This window comes from Homo sapiens, chromosome X (genome assembly GCF_000001405.40).
Source record: "Homo sapiens chromosome X, GRCh38.p14 Primary Assembly".
Taxonomy (NCBI): Eukaryota; Metazoa; Chordata; class Mammalia; order Primates; family Hominidae; genus Homo; species Homo sapiens.
The window spans coordinates 76,148,210-76,164,730 of NC_000023.11; the positions used below are offsets into that span (position 1 = coordinate 76,148,210).

A 16,521-nucleotide genomic window follows, 5' to 3' on the forward strand; every position below is an offset into this window, starting at 1 on the left:
GTATGTCAATTTTACACAAACATTCGCAAGAAGAGGCGCCATAAAACCAACAGAGTGCCTGAAAGGAGGTCATTCCTGTTTTTCCTCTTTCTTAGATTTATTTTTTGAAGGAAGGAACTTAGCTGTGGCCTAAGGTTTCAGTGGAGTGGGTCCAAGTATCCGGGTTGTGGGCAGGACTCCACAGTGTGTCACCACAGAGTAATTTCCACCTTATGTGTCTCATTTTCTCTCTCTGGAGGTCTAGCACCTATGGGAGGGTCAAAGCAAAGTGATCAGCTCTAATAGGCATTTCCTGGATGAGCTTTTTAAAACTATTTTGTTGTAGGTTCCCTGTAGGGCTGCTGGTTGTCACGGGGGTCAACACCCCCAGACACTCCCACTGGGCTCCAAGTCACCCAGGGGTGCCTTTCTGCTGGGAAGAGCAAAATGCCCTTTCCCTTTGGAGGTCAGGAAACAGTCTCTCATGTATCTATGAAAACAACAGTACAGCTCTTCACGCAGATGCACACACAAAACAACAAGATTAATTTGGGGAGGAAAAGCAATGGAGAAGACACTGTAGAATGCATCTCCAAATTAGAATTCGGATCCTAAACAATAACTTCCTAAGAGGGGAAAAAAGAGAGGGGCAGCTATGACCATTTCCTGTAAACTGTCTTCAGCCACTTGTAATTTTGTAGCTCTCATCTACCATTACACACGCCAAGGTCAAATCCTCTCACAGCACAAGATCCTTCCCCGACCGAACCACTTTACATCTTACATAAAATGATTGATGTTTCATGTCTCACTAAAATGTATGGAAGCAGGCTGTGCCCTGACCACCTTGGGCACGTGTCGTCAGGACCTCCTGAGGCTGTCATGGGCGGGTCCTTAACGTTGGCAAAATAAACTTTCTAAATTGACTGAGACACCTCTCAGATATCAGGGGTTCACAGCCCTATGGAAAAAAAAAAAAAAAAAAAGGCATATGTCAGAAAGTTTACAAGCAGGCTAGTCAACAAAGAATCTCACGTTAAAAATATTTTTTGTCGCTCTTCTGTCCATCAGATTGGCACAGAGATTTCAGAAAAGAAAAAGCGGGAGTTAGTAGGCCACCCTAAAAGCTGTGCCTCTACAGCGGAAAGAAACTTTGTTTTGACTCTGAGGAACGGCGCTTTTTTTCTAAACGCGAAGGGCGGGGTAAGAGCAGAGCTGCACGCATCTGTGAATACATACTGCCACCAAACGGGCATAATTTCACCGCGACGGAGAAAGTCTGGGAGGACGTTCTCTTTGCGGCCCAATTTCTGCTCTTTAGATCTGGAGCAGTCCACTGAGGGACCTGAACAAGATAAACGGGAAGGGAAAAGCGCCAGAAGTTCGAGCAGAGAACCCACCGGGCAGCCGGTGGGGGTGCCCCGGAAGTCGATTTGCAACTGGGAGGCGGGCGGTCTGCCGAAGTGCTGCCCCGGAAGCCATAGCAGTAGCAGAAGGACGTTCCCGCCCCGCTCCTTCCCCCGGCCCTCCCCCCGCCAGCCCTCCCCCAGCACCCCCCCCACCACCACGTTCCACCGCCTCTTCGGGGAGGCGGGAGCGCCGTGCCTGATGGGAGGTGTGGGCGTGTTGATCATGGGTGTAGGGAATTCGGCTGTCTCCTTTCTACCCGCCGCCCGAGTTTATTTTGTGCACGGTTTCTTTTGTAGCGGACGTTACTGGGAGGAATGAGGGCGAGGAAGAGAAAGACGTTAGTCCTCGGACCGTTTCCGAGAGTCATCTCCGGGAGTAATGCGAAGATGGACACGCTCAGTCCTGCCTGTGCATGCGCGTTCGCGTTGTACGGAATTCCCAAGCCAGCTGCGTAGTTTCTGCCTTGAAGCTATTTGGCGAGAAGTTTCGCCTGTTCCTTTACTTTGTGGGTCAGGGCTTGGGTGCTTGAGTGGGAGAAACAGAAAGCCAGCTAGCCCTGGAACCCCTTCTAAGATCGTCATCCACCCAGCCATCCATAAATCTGTTCATCCATGAAACAAATAATCATTGAGCACCCCTTATATGCCAGACACACGTAAGGATGCAAGGGCCGCGTTCTCATTCTAGTGGGTGGGGACAGAGAGTAAACAAATTATCTACTTAATTTCAGATAGTGGTAAGTGATAGAAAATAAAACGGGGTGATATTGTCAGAGGCGTTTGAACCAGAGCGACTCCATTCCGAGTGAGGGCTAGGAAAATGAAGCTGAGGCTTGCTGGGCTGCATTCCCAGAAAGTTAGGTATTCCCAGCCTCTAGATGTTTACGGTTAAGGGAACAAATTAATAACGTTTACTAAACAGACCCAGACTTGGGAGTGTCCAGATATTCCGATATCTGGAGAAGAAAGGCATTCCTAATTTTGCCTTAAAGATAACAACACTGATTCTTGCAAAACATAGTAATTAAGAAAATTAATCCTCTATCACAAACCCTTGTAGCAGAGCACATCTCCTCATATAACAAGCATTGTACCTAGGGTGGACGCATTCCTCCTCTTACTTTTGGGAACGTCCTACTCTGTCTATGGAGTAGCTGCCCTTTCACCACTGTGCTTTCTCAATAAACTTGCTTTTGCTTTGCACTGTGAACTCGCCCTGAATTATTTCTTGCGCGAGATCCAAGAACCCTCTCTTGGGGTCTGGATCAAGACCCCTTTCCTGTAACAATATGACAAAGAAATGCGGTGGATGTTATACCCATTTATACTTGGTGGTCAGACTCGGCTTCTTTCAAAAATGACAGTTGAAGACATTAGGAAGGGTCCTGTATGGCTTTGATGACCTTGATAAGGGTCAAGGCTTCTTCCTGGTTTTGCCTTGTCTCAGGCTTATTAACAGAGACTTAGATCACCACAAAATATTGATAGGTCTGCTGCTTCATTCCCTGCAGTTGCTCCTATACTCTGAAAACTAGCATCAGAGTACAAAATTCTAATAGAAGGACTAAGCGGGGTCAGGAAGTGCCAGCGCTCCAGCGTGAAAAACAAAAGCTGTTAGGTTAGGGCCTTGAGCACTTAGGTTAAAGGCCTTTTTCCACTGACCCCCCCAGGAGCCCAGAGGGATGGGGAAGTCTGGTTTCCTTCTTCTTTGTGGCCTGCCTTCCCTCTGGCCTCCTTGTTCTATGGGTCCTGGGATCTTATCCTTCTGGATTAGGTCATTATGGGGCTTTGCTTTGCTGTAATGGAGCAGCGTGTCACAGACAGACCTCTAGTGCTATCAATGGAAAGCCAGTGGAATTTTAATTCTGAATAAGTGTTTGGAATGGGCCCACGGTGCAGTATCTCCTATGCGGTTTTGGAGGCCTTGTAGAATTGGCACAAGTGACCAGGGCTGTGATAGTTTAAGGAATTCTATGTCTCAGCATGAAGTTAAAACCATGATGACAACGGTGTATAAAACAGTGGGGCTTACTGGTTTCCCTTTTCATCCTCTGAGTGTCCTTTCTGGCCTGTTTCTCACTTTCAGATTTGGGCCCAATTACCTAATTGTGTGAGCTCTATCTCTCTGAGCAAAACTGAAAGTGCAGTTGTGCATAAGGCGGAAGTCCGGGTGGATTGTGTTCTATCCTATTATGTATTAGGCCTATCCGCCTCTTCAGCATGACTGAAGAAATAAGCGTAAACACTGACAACTTATTTCCTCACTCGGATCTCTCCACGCCACCCTCACCAGCAAGGGGAAACCTGTGTTCAGAGGTGGGAAAGGCTAGCAAAAGCCACAGTTTTCTGGCTGGATCATAAAGAATGAACATTGTCTGATCTGGAAACACCCAGGGTCCCTATCCATTTAAACCAAAACATCTTTCTGCCAGGTTTGTAGTCCAAATCTTCCAACTACTCATTTCTCTCAAGCCTTCGTCTCCGTTCACCCTTCTATTTCACAACTTATTTTCTCTCTGCAAGCCTCCAACACTGCCTCCCGACTCCTCACATTCAGCCTCTGACCTTCCTTTCTAATTCGCTGAGAAAATTGCCTGAGAGTCAACCCAAATTAACAAGTCAAAAATCGAACTCTCCCATCTTCCCCTAGAAACCTCCTCCCACTGCAGCGTCCCCCCTCGCCCCACCCCTCACAGTTAAGGCCACTCTTATCCTTCCAATTGTTCATGCTATAGACTTGAGGGTGATCCTTCACGCCACTGTTTTACTCACCCCTCATTTCCATCTGTGAAGAAATCCTTTGAGCTCTCTTGTCAAAATAGATCCAGAATCTGACATCTGACGATGGGAGACATTCATCTCAGGGAAAAGCATAGGTGCCCCTTCTGAGCAGTTTGTCAGATTCGATCTCAGGGATACTGTTGAGTCCTGCAGAGGATCGTGTTTCCCTCTTTACATTTTGGCAGCTAGAAAACTTAAATCCACATCTGTGGCCAACTAGTGCTCAATGGCTTGCTCTTTGTGTTCAAGTTCGTCATCTGACTGGACTTCCTCATTTTAATTTGGACTTCATTTCTTCATCCAATATGTTTTTCAGAAGTTTGAATTCTCTGTATTGATGTGTTTTGTGAGCTGTGTATCTCCTCCGGTCCCAGCCCAGCAATGGCTTCTGATCTCACTCAGAGTAAAAGCCCAGTCCTTGTCCGGTAAGAGCCAACAGGATTTAATCTCTGGTTAACTCTCTGGCTTCCCCTCCAACATGTTGTCCTCTCTTCTGCCCTCACTCTGCCAGAGCCAAACTGGAATCAGCTTATACTTTTAATAACATCTTCTGTTTCTGGGGTGATTGAGCTACATCATACATGACCACGGCCACAGGTCTTTTCTTAAATCTTGTTCTTGATGGCAAGATATGACGGCTGTCTACGTTTGTTTGTTCGTCCCTTGTGCATGCCAGTGTTTGACCAAAGCATATCTGCCAACCTTATCCTGGAGTAGCATGTATATTGGTGCACTTTCCACTAGCAGCAACACTGGCATACCTGTCTAATGCTAAATTCTTGTTATGTAGCCCACCATTTGAGAAGAAAAATGCAATCACTTGTCCCAGTTGAGCCCATTAGATTGGTGATGACAAGTGCCTTTCATCTTAGCATATTTATATTGCCTGCTGGAAAAAAAAATGTGTTAAACTACCTACCGGTAGCCATTCATCTCTGCTTTTCTCTTTGCATCTGATTCCAACACACTTTCATGTTACATGTAGTTAGACACACATGAGAGGGGCAGGAGAGTCCTTTTCCCCAACACCCACCGGGAATGTCACGTGATCGGGTGATGGTTCAACAATTATCACATTGCCTGTCTAAAAATGGTACTTTGGCACCTGGAGTCAGGGAGAGATAATCTCCTGCTGATCTACAGCTGTTAACATTAACGTGGTTAACTGAATGCCAGGTAGAAACAAAAAGAGCTTCCAATAAAATCAAGTATTGTGGGACTGAGCTCAAGCATTGTGGGAGTGAGCTCAAGCATGTGAATTAAGACACAAAATGACGGAGTATGACCTTCCTATTGACACTTCACCAGAAAAGTGAAGAAAGCCTCAGGCGGGAATCCATACAACTTCCTAAACCCACTGTGCATGCTCACCTCCCAAGGGTAAGGAGGGTACTGTGCATGGGGCAGCACAGTACCCATGGGAAGAATCATGGGAAATGAGCCAGTCTATGAAGTTCCAGGATCAAGGTTAAACACCACACTTGAGCTTCATATGCCCGCTTGGGCCTCTTCCAAGTGTACTTTCTTTTATGTTCTAAACGCTTTTTAAATAAATTTCCACTCCTGCTCTGAAACTTGCCTCGGTCTCTTTTTCTGCCTTCTGCCTCTCAGTGGAATTCTTTCTTCTGAGAAGGCAAGAATTAAGGTTGCTGCAGACCCGTGTCTGGATTCGCTGCTGGTGGTAGCTCAGATACCTTACCCCGGTCACATTCACAGTCCCTTTCTCCTGACTAACCTGTTTTGACTGTTTACTCCCTATTTGTAATATCTCCAGCAACCTAATCTGGGTTTTAGAAATGGAGTATTAAATATACCAATGGCTATATTTTCAGGGGCATTGTGACATTTCTAAGACATCACTATCTTGAAAAATCCAGCCTATTGACACCACACGTCTACAACTATCTGATCTTCGACAAACCTGACAAAAACAAGCTATGAGGAAACAATTCCCTATTTAATAAATAAAAATAAAAAGGAATAAAAAGCGTTTAGAACAAAAATCTAGGAAAACTGGCTAGCCATATGCAGAAAACAGAAACTGGACCCCTTCCTTATACCTTACACAAAAATTAACTCAAGATGGATTAAACCCTTAAAGGTAAAAGTTAAAACCATAAAAACCCTAGAAACATACCTAGGCAATACCATTCAGGACACAGGCAAGGGCAAATACTTTATGACTAAAATGCCAAAAGCAATTGCAACAAAAGCCAAAATTGACAAATGGAATATAATTAAACTAAACAACTTCTGCACAGCAAAAGAAACTGCCATCAGAGTGCACAGGCAACCTACACAATGGGAGAAAATTTCTGCAATCTATCCATCTGACAAAGGTCTAATATCCAGAATCTACAAGGAACTTAAACAAATTTAAAAGAAAAAAACAACTCCATCAAAAAGTGGGAAAAGGATATGAACAGACACTTCTCAAAAGAAGACATTTATGCAGCCAACGAACATATGAAAAAAAGCTCATCACCACTGGTCATTAGAGAAATGCAAATCAAACCACAATGAGATATTATCTCACGCCACTTAGAATGGCGATCATTAAAAAGTCAAGAAGCAACACATGCTGGTGAGGCTATGGAGAAATAGGAACGCTTTTCCACTGTTGATGGGAGTGTACATTAGTTTAACCATTGTGGAAGACAATGTGGCAATTCCTCAAGGATCTAGAACCAGAAATACCATTTGACACAGGCATCCCATTACTGAGTATACACCCAAAGGATTATAAATCATTCTACTATAAAGACACATGCACACGTTTGTTTATTGCGGCACTGTTCACAATAGCAAAGACTTGGAACCAACCCAAATGCCCATCAATGATAGACTGGATAAAGAAAATGTGGCACATACATGCTATGGAATACTATGCAGCCATAAAAAAGAATGGGTTCATGTCCTTTGCAGGAACATGGATGAAGCTGGAAGCCATCATTCTCAGCAAACTAACACAGGAACAGAAAACCAAACACCGCATGTTCTCACTCATAAGTGGGAGTTGAACAATGAGAACACATGGACACAGCGAGTGGAATATCATGCACCAGGGCCTGTCGGGGGTGGGGGACAAGGGGAGGGAGAGCATTAGGACAAATACCTAATGCATGCGGGGCTTAACACCTAGACAAGGGGTTGATGGGTGCAGCAAACCACCATGGCACATGTATACCATATCACAAACCTGCATGTTCTGCACAGGTATCCCAGAACTTAATGTAAAATAAAATAAAATAAAGAAAGAAAAAATAAAAGGAAAGAAAAATCCTGCCTATTGGGCTCATTTATAGAACCACTTGAAAACCGCCCTTGTCAAGTAAAAATTTTCCAACAAGTAACCCCTTAGAAATGCAGCCTTCTTGTATACACATTATAGGATTTCATCAGTGTACAGGTGCACCAGGTGGCCTTGGGGTAAAGATAGATTAAAGATCATAAATAATTATCTGCATTTCAGTGTTAAGGCCCAGAAAGCTTCCCTTGCTTCCTTTTACCTCAGTGAATGCCCTCAGGCAATGCTTCTGGAGCCAGCTTACTCAATCTTTTCTCACCAGTAATGCCAGCCCTTCATTCCAGATTTTGTTGTTATATTTAACCCACCATATGCACTTGAAATCCTTACTTGAGAAAACTTGGAAAGTAGGGGAAGGTTTTCACAATAAATGAAAAAGTTGCCATAATTCTACAACCAATGTATAATGACTCTTAGTTCTTTAGTTTACTTCCCAATTGACTCTTTTCTATGGGAGTAAAATAATGTTGTATGCATGCTACTATGATGATATTAAATGGTGTCACTTGCTACATTTCAGGTATTGTTGGGTATGTGTGGTTACTATCATAAATGACTTTCCTGTTTTCTTTCGCCCACCCATCTTTCACAGAAAAAGATACTTAATATCAAAGTTAATCAGGTAATAAAAATTTTAATCATGGTGAGATACTATTTCTTTTCTATCAGATAACTCTTTGATTTGGGGACTAAAAAGGGTACTAGAAAATGACATCCTTAGGAAGTAATATCCGGGAAGCTCAGCTTGGCCAACTACGTAACACTGTGGCTATTTGAGGAAAGTGGTGATTTTGAAGAGAGGACTACATTGCCTTCTCAGGTGTGTCTCCTTTGCCCAGCTCCCATGGGATCAAATATGAATCCAGTGAGGGCTGCAAGTTATATTTATGAGTTCAGAAACAGTGCAAGTCACTTGGCACAGCCTAAATAACTCCATCTGAAAGCAGTTGGTCAGTGCAACTGGTGGGCCGGTGGTCAAAACAAAGGTTACTCTTGTGCCACCAGCACCAAGGAGCCATTCTTAGAGATGTCTGGTTATTCCTTGGTCCAGAGCCCTGAATTATCCTGTAGATGTGTCTGAATCAGAACAGAGTAAATACCAAGTTAGCAGGAAAAGCTCATCACTACTCTCATTCCTATCTCTCCTCTGGCTGCTCACCTAGTGAGCTCTGCAGCAATATGCTTAGTAGCCCCAGCCAGGGTGTGATGGCCACCAATGTTATCACCAGGCTTAGACAGAGGAAGGCTTGATGTTATATTCTGACATACAGTGCCATATCCTTACCTGAGAATGGAATGGAATGACAAAGGAGATCTGAATTATGGGTGTGAGAAAAGTTTCAGACAATTCTGAGTGAAAAATTAGTCCAATTCCTAAATGACCAAATTGTTCTGATTAGTTAGAAAAAAAGCACAACGGAGGCAGAAACTTTTCTACATTTCTAGCTGAGAAAATTTAAAGATGGGGCTTGAATTACCAAGTGTTAATAGTATTTAAAAATGTTTTATGTTTCTATGAAAAATTGCTCTGTGACTATAAGAAAGTAAAACAAGAAAGAAGGAAGAAAGGAAGCATTGAGACAGAGTAAACAAAGCCAATGAAGGGAAGGAGAAAACAGGGACGATATATAGAGAAAAAGCATGGGCTCAGTTCATTTTCCTCTTTAAAATCCAGAGCTACCTGCCTCTAAAGTTCAAAGTCTTGTCTATAACATCCTGGTGTTGTGCTTTCTGAGTGGGGCTTTCAGAACTTCCCTTGGGGAAAGCCTATGATGCACTGCAAAGAGATGGGCATGTCTGAGGTCAGTGCACATCCAGTGTGATAGCCCCAACTCACCACAGTATCAAGGAGTTGCAGCTGGACCCACAAGTACTAGGGCTAACATATGCCTATTTCTCCCCCATGCTCAACCTAGGTATCTCCCTTAGCAGATGTGGAGCAAAATAACCTTTGCAGAAAATAATCTTAGAGCTTAAACCTGAGCTATGTCTGGAAAGTCCATGGCATTCTGAATAATCTATAATTTACTGAGCATTTGCTGTATTCTAGTCCCTGTGCTAAGAGCTCATACATTCATGTCTTATATAATTCCATCATTGAAATAAGCACATAAGTCAAATGTGTCTGTAATCTTCACTTTCAAAGTGAAGAAGCCAAGACTCTGCATTTAAGAGACTTGCCTAAGTTCACATAGATAATAAAACTCAGTTACCTCCGAAATAAAAGATGACATAACTTTAACCACAAACCATCATGGCCCTGAAACTATGAGAGTAAGGTTGGTAACTTCCAAGGAGGAGGTGAATTTAAATCTATCCTGATTCCAGATCATTTGTACTGCCCCTGGTATAGTTGGAGAGGTGTCACTCTTTTTCTTTTTCTTTTCTCTCTCTCTCTCTCTTTTTTTTTTTTTTTTTTTTTTTGAGATTGGGTCTCACTCTGTCACCCAGGCTGAAGTGCAGTGGCATGATCTTGGTTCACTGCAACCTCCACCTCCCAGGCTCAGGTGATCCTCCCGCCTCAGCCTCCCACGTAGCTGGAACCACCACGCCCAGCTAATTTTTTGTATTGTTAGTAGAGACGGAGTTTTGCCCTGTTGCCCAGGCTGGTCTCGAACTCCTGAGCTCAAGCGATCCACCCATCCTGGCCTCCCAAACTGCTGGGATTACAGGCATGAACCACCACACCCGACCCACTCTTTTTCTTAAATGCATTCATGCACATGCATATGTACATATGTGCACACACATACTCATATACTAACACAGACTGGTATGGGACAGTCTGAGTCTTATGTGATCCATACTCAGCAGTTAACAATAATTATTTCTGTACCCTTACCTATGGAAGACATTCAATCAAAAGTGGCAATTGCTAAGGTTTTCATGGGAACTTAATGTGTCAGGAGATTTTAACCTTAACCTTAAGATGTATTCACTTCAGGAGTCAAGCGCCTTCCAGCATGGTCACAGGATAGTTTTCATGTCTTTGTCTTCCAGTAATGCTTTGAATGTATTGTCATTAATCCATTCATGCAACAAAAAGTCATGGCACTCCTCTAATATGTGTCAGCCACTGTGCTATTCCTTGGAATCACTATCATTATAATTACTACTGTCTTTTTTTTTTTTTTGGTAATGGTCAGTTTTAGTATAACAATATATCTCACTAGGATGAGTGCATTATAAGAGGGTACTGTGCATTTTTCATCACTACATGTCTAGGTCTTAGACACATATGGACATAGCTCTGAGTAGGCGATCAACAAATATGGGGGATTAAATGACAAATTTCATGGGGTATATAGCGTATGTAAGAAATAAGGAACACTGGAGCCCTGGCTGGCAAGATGGCCAAATAAGAACACCTCCAGTCTGCAGCTCCCAGCGAGATCAATGCAGAAGGTGGGTGATTTTTACATTTCCCACTAAGGTACCCAGTTCATCTCACTGGGACTGGTTGAACAGTGGGTGCAGCCCAAGGAGGGTGAGCCAAAGCAGAGTGGGGTGTTGCCTCACCAGGGAAGCGCAAGGGGTCCGGGAGCTCCCTCTCCTAGCCAAGGGAAGTCATTAGGGACTGTACTTTGCACTTAGGCCCAGATACTGTGCTTTTCCCACAGTCTTGGCAACCCACAGACCAGGAGATTCACTCTGGTGCCCACACCACCAAGGCCCTGGGTTTCCAGCACAAAACTGGGCGGCCATTTGGGCAGACACTGAGCTAGCCGCAGAAGTTTTTCATACCCCAGTGGCACCTGGAACGCCAGCAAGACAGAACCGTTCACTCCCCTGGAAAGGGGGCTGAAGCCAGGGATCCAAGTGGTCTGGCTCGGTGGGTCCTACCCCCACGGAACCCAGCAAGCTAAGATCCACTGGCTTGAAATTCTCGCTGCTACCACAGCAGTCTGAGCTCGACCTGGGATGCTCCAGCTTGGTGGGGGGAAGGGCGTCTGCCATTGCTGACGCCTGAGTAGATGGTTTCACCCTCACAGTGTAAACAAAGCCGCCTAGAAATTCCATCTGGGCAGAGCCCACCACACCTCACTCAGCAAGGCCACTGCAGCCAGACTGCCTCTCCAGATTCCCTCCTCTCTGGGCAGGGCATCTCTGAAAACAAGGCAGCAGCCCCATTCAGGGACTTATAGATAAAACACCCACCTCCCTGAGACAGAGCACCTGGGGGAAGGGGCGGTTGGGGGCACAGCTTCAGCAGACTTAAACGTCCCTACCTGGCAGCTCTGAAGAGAGCAGCGGATTTCCCAGCACAGTGTTCGAGCTCTGATAAGGGACAGACTACCTCCTCAAGTGGGTCCCTGACCCCCATGTATCCTGACTAGGAGGCACCTCACAGTAGGAGCACCACCTCAAACAGGAGAGCTCTGGCTGGCATCTGGCAGGTGTCCCTCTAGGAAGAAGCTTACAGAGGAAGGAACAGACAGCAATCTTTGCTGTTCTGCAGCCTCCGCTGGTGATAACCAGGCAAACAGGGTCTGGAGTGGACCTCCAGCAAACTCCAGCAGACCTGCAGCAGAGGGGCCTGACTGTCAGAAGGAAAACTAATAAAGAGAAAGGAATAGTATCATCATAAACGAAAAGGACATCAATTCAGAGACCCCAGCAGAAGGTCACTGACTTCAAAGACCAAAGGTACATAAATCCACAAAGATGGGGAGAAATCAGAATAAAAAGGCTGAAAATTCCAAAAACCAGAACGCCTCTTCTCCTCCAAAGGATCACAGCTCCTCTCCAGCAAGGGAACAAAACTGGATGGAGAATGAGTTTGATAAATTAATAGAAGTAGGCTTCAGAAGGTAGTTAATAACAAACTCCTCCGAGCTAAAGGAGCATGCTCTAACCCAATGCAAGGAAGCTAAGAACCTTTAAAAAGGATAGACGAATTGCTAACCACAATAACCAGTTTAGAGAAGAATATAAATGACCTGATGGAGTTGAAAAACACAGCACAAGAGCTTTGTGAAGCATACACAAGAATCAACAGCTGATTCGATCAAGCAGAAGGAAAGATAGCAGAGATTGAAGATCAACTCAAAGAAATAAAGTGAGAAGACAAGATTAGAGGAAGAAGAGTGAAAAGAAACAAAGCCCTCAAGAAACATGGGACTATGTGAAAAGACCAAGTTTGTGTTTGATTAGTGTACCTGAAAATGACAGGAAGAATGAAACCAAGTTGGAAAACACTCCTCAGGATATTATCCAGGAGAACTTCCCCAACCTAGCAAGGCAGGCCAACAATCAAATTCAGGAAATACAGAGAACACCACAAAGATAGTCTTCAAGAAGAGCAACCCCAAGACACGTAATTGTCAGGTTCACCAAGGTTGAAATGAAGGAATAAAATACTACTAAGGGCAGCCAGAAAGAAAGGTTGGGCTACCCCCAAAGGGAAACCCATAAGACTAACAGTGGATCTCTTGGCAGAAACCCTACAAGCCAGAAGAGAGTGGGGGCCAATATTCAACATTCTTAAAGAAAAGAATTTACAACCCAGAATTTCATGTCCAGCCAAACTAAGCTTCATAAGTGAAGGAGAAATAAAATCCTTTACAGACAAGCAAATGCTGAGAGATTTTGTCACCACCTGGCCTGCCTTACAAGAGCTCCTGAAGAAAGCACTAAACATGGAAAGGATCAACCGGTACCAGTCACTACAAAAACATACCAAATTGTAACGACTATCGACACTATGAAGAAACTGCATCAACTAGTGGGCAAAATAACCAGCTAGGATCACAATGACAGGATCAAATTTACACATAACAATATTGACCTTAAATGTAAATGGGCTGAATGCCCTAATTAAAAGACACAGACTGGCAAATTGGATAAAGAGTCAAGAATACAGCATCAGTGTGCTGTATTCAGGAGATGCATCTCACGTGCAAAGATACACATAGGCTCAAAATAAAGGAAGGGAGGAATATTTACCAAGCAAATGGAGAGCAAAAAGGAAAGCAGGGGTTGCAATCCTAGTCTCTGATAAAACAGACTTTAAACCAACAATGACCAAAAAAGACAAAGATGGGCATTACATAATGGTAAAGGGATCAATACAATAAAAAGAGCTAACTATCTTAAATATATATGCACCCAATACAGGAGCACCCAGATTCATAAAGCAAGTTCATAGAGACCTACAAAGAGACTTAGACTCCCACACAATAATAGTGGTAGTCTTTAATACCTCAATGTCAATATTAGAAAGATCAATGAGACAGAATATTAACAAGAATACCCAGGACTTCAACTCACCTCTGGACCAAGCAGACCTAATATACATCTACAGAACTCTCCACCCCAAATCAACAGAATATACATCTTCTCAGCACCACCGTGCACTTATTCTAACATTGACCATATAAATGGAAGTAAAACACCCCTCAGCAAATGCAAAAGAACGGAAATCATAACAAACAGTCTCTCAGACCACAGTGCAATCAAACTAGAAGGTAGGATTAAGAAACTCACTCAAAACCACACAACTACATGGAAACTAAACAACTTGCTCCTGAATGACTACTGGGTAAATAGCAAAATGAAGGCAGAAGTAAAGATGTTCATTGAAAACAGTGAGAACAAAGACACAATGTACCAGAATCTCTGGGACACAGCTAAAACAGTGTTTAGAGAGAAATTTATAGCACTAAATGCCCATAAAAGCAAGCAGGAAAGATCTAAAATCAACACCCTAACATCACATTTAAAAGAACTGGAGAAGCAGGAGCAAAAAATTCAAAAGCTAGCAGAAGTTAAGAAATAACTAAGGTCAAAGAAGTGAAGGAGATAGAGACACAAAAAAACCTTCAAAAAATCAATGAATCCAGGAGCTGTTTTTTTGAAAAGACCAAAAAAATAGACCACTAGCCAGACTAATAAAGAAAAAAAGAGAGAATAATCAAATAGATGCAATAAAAATTATAAAGGGGATATCACCACTAATCCCACAGAAATACAAACTACCATCAGAGAATACTATAAACACTTCTATGCAAATAAACTAGAAAATCTAGAAGAAATGGATAAGTTCCTCGAAACATACACTCTCCCATGACTAAACCAGGAAGAAGTTGAAACCCTGAAGAGACCAATAACAAGGTCTGAAATTGAGGTAGCAATTAATAACCATAAAATGTCCAGGACCAGACGGATTCACAGCCAGATTCTACCAGAGGTACAAAGAAGAGCTGGTACCATTCCTTCTGAAAATATTCCAAACAATAGAAAAAGAGGGAATCCTCCCTAACTCATTTTATGAGGCCAGCATCATCCCAATACCAAAACCTGGCAGAGACACAACAAAAAAAGAAAATTTCAGGCCAATATCCCTGATGAACATCGATGCAAAAATCCTCAATAAAGTACTGGCAAACCGAATCCAGCAGCACATCAAAAAGCTTATCCAACACGATCAAGTTGACTTCATCCCGGGGGTTGCAAGGCTGGTTCAACATATGCAAATCAATAAACGTAATCCATCACATAAACAGAACCAATGACAAAAACCACATGATTATCTCAATAGATGCAGAAAAGGCCTTCCATAAAATTCAACAGCCCTTCATGCTAAAAGCTTTCAATAAACTAGGTATTAATGGAAGATATCTCAAAATAATAAGAGCTATTTATGATAAACCCACAGCCAATATCATACTGAATGGGCAAAAACTGGAAACATTCCTGTTGAAAAGCAGCACAAGATAAGGATGCCCTCTCTTAACAATTCTATTCAACATAGTATTGGAAGTTCTGGCCAGGGCAATTAGGCAAGAGAAAGAAATAAAGGGTATTCGATTAGGAAAAGAGGAAGTCAAATTGTCCCTGTTTGCAGATGCCATGAATGTATATTTAGAAAACCCCATCATCTCAGCCCAAAATCTCCTTAAGCTGATAAGCAACTTCAGCAAAGTGGCAGGATACAAAATCCATGTACAAAAATCACAAGCATTCCTATACACCAATATAGCAGATCAACAGAGAGCCAAATCATGAGTAAACTCCAATTCACAATTGCTACAATGAGAACACAATACCTAGGAAAACAGCTCACAATGAATGTGAGGGACCTTTATAAGGATAACTAAAAACCACTGCTCAAGGAAATAAGAGAGGACACAAACAAATGTAAAAATATTCCATGCTCATGGCTAGGAAGAATCAATATCGTCAAAATGGCCATATTGCCCAAAGTAATTCATAGATTCAATGCTATGCCCATCAAGCTACCATTGACTGTCTTCACAGAATTGGAAAAAACTACTTTCAATTTCATATGGGACCAAAAAAGAGTCCGTATAGCCAAGACAATCCTAAGCAAAAACAACAAAGCTGGAGGCATCACATTACCTAACTTCAAACTATACCATAAGGCTACATTAACCAAAACAGCATGGTACTGCTACCAAAACAGATATATAGACCAATGGAACAGAACAGAGGCCTCAGAAATAACTCCACATGTGTACAGCCATCTGATCTTTGACAAATCTGACAAAACAAGCAACGGGGAAAGGATTCCCTACTTAATAAATGGTGTTGGGAAAACTGGCTAGCCATACGCAGAAAGCTGAAACTGGATCCTTTCCTTACACGTTATACAAAAATTAACTCAAATGATTTAAAGACTTAAATGTAAGACCTAAAACCATAAAAACCCTAGAAGAAAACCTAGGCAATATCACTTAGGACATAGGTATGGGCATAGACTTCATGACTAAAACACCAAAAGCAATGGCAACAAAAGTAAAAATTAACAAATGGGATCTAATTAAATTAAAGAGCTTCTGCACAGCAAAAGAAATTATCATCAGAGTGAACAGGCAACCTACAGAATGGGAGAAAATTTTTGCGATCTATCCATCTAACAAGGGTCTTATATCCAGAATCTACAAAGAACTTAAACAAATTTACAAAAAAACCCAAAAACCAAAAAAAAAAAAACCAAACAACCTTATCAAAAAGTGGGCAAAGGATATGAACAGACACTTCTCAAAAGAAGACATTTATGCAGCCAAAAAACATATGAAAAAA

General features: G+C 42.7%; 1 annotated feature.

Annotated features, from left to right (window-relative positions):
• Nucleotides 238–772: an enhancer, noted in NCBI's record as "H3K27ac hESC enhancer chrX:75368282-75368816 (GRCh37/hg19 assembly coordinates)". NCBI's record gives its function as "activates a minimal SCP1, AML or CMV promoter by ChIP-STARR-seq in primed H9 embryonic stem cells {active_cell/tissue: H9 hESC(primed)}" and the evidence as "EXISTENCE:reporter gene assay evidence [ECO:0000049][PMID:30033119]".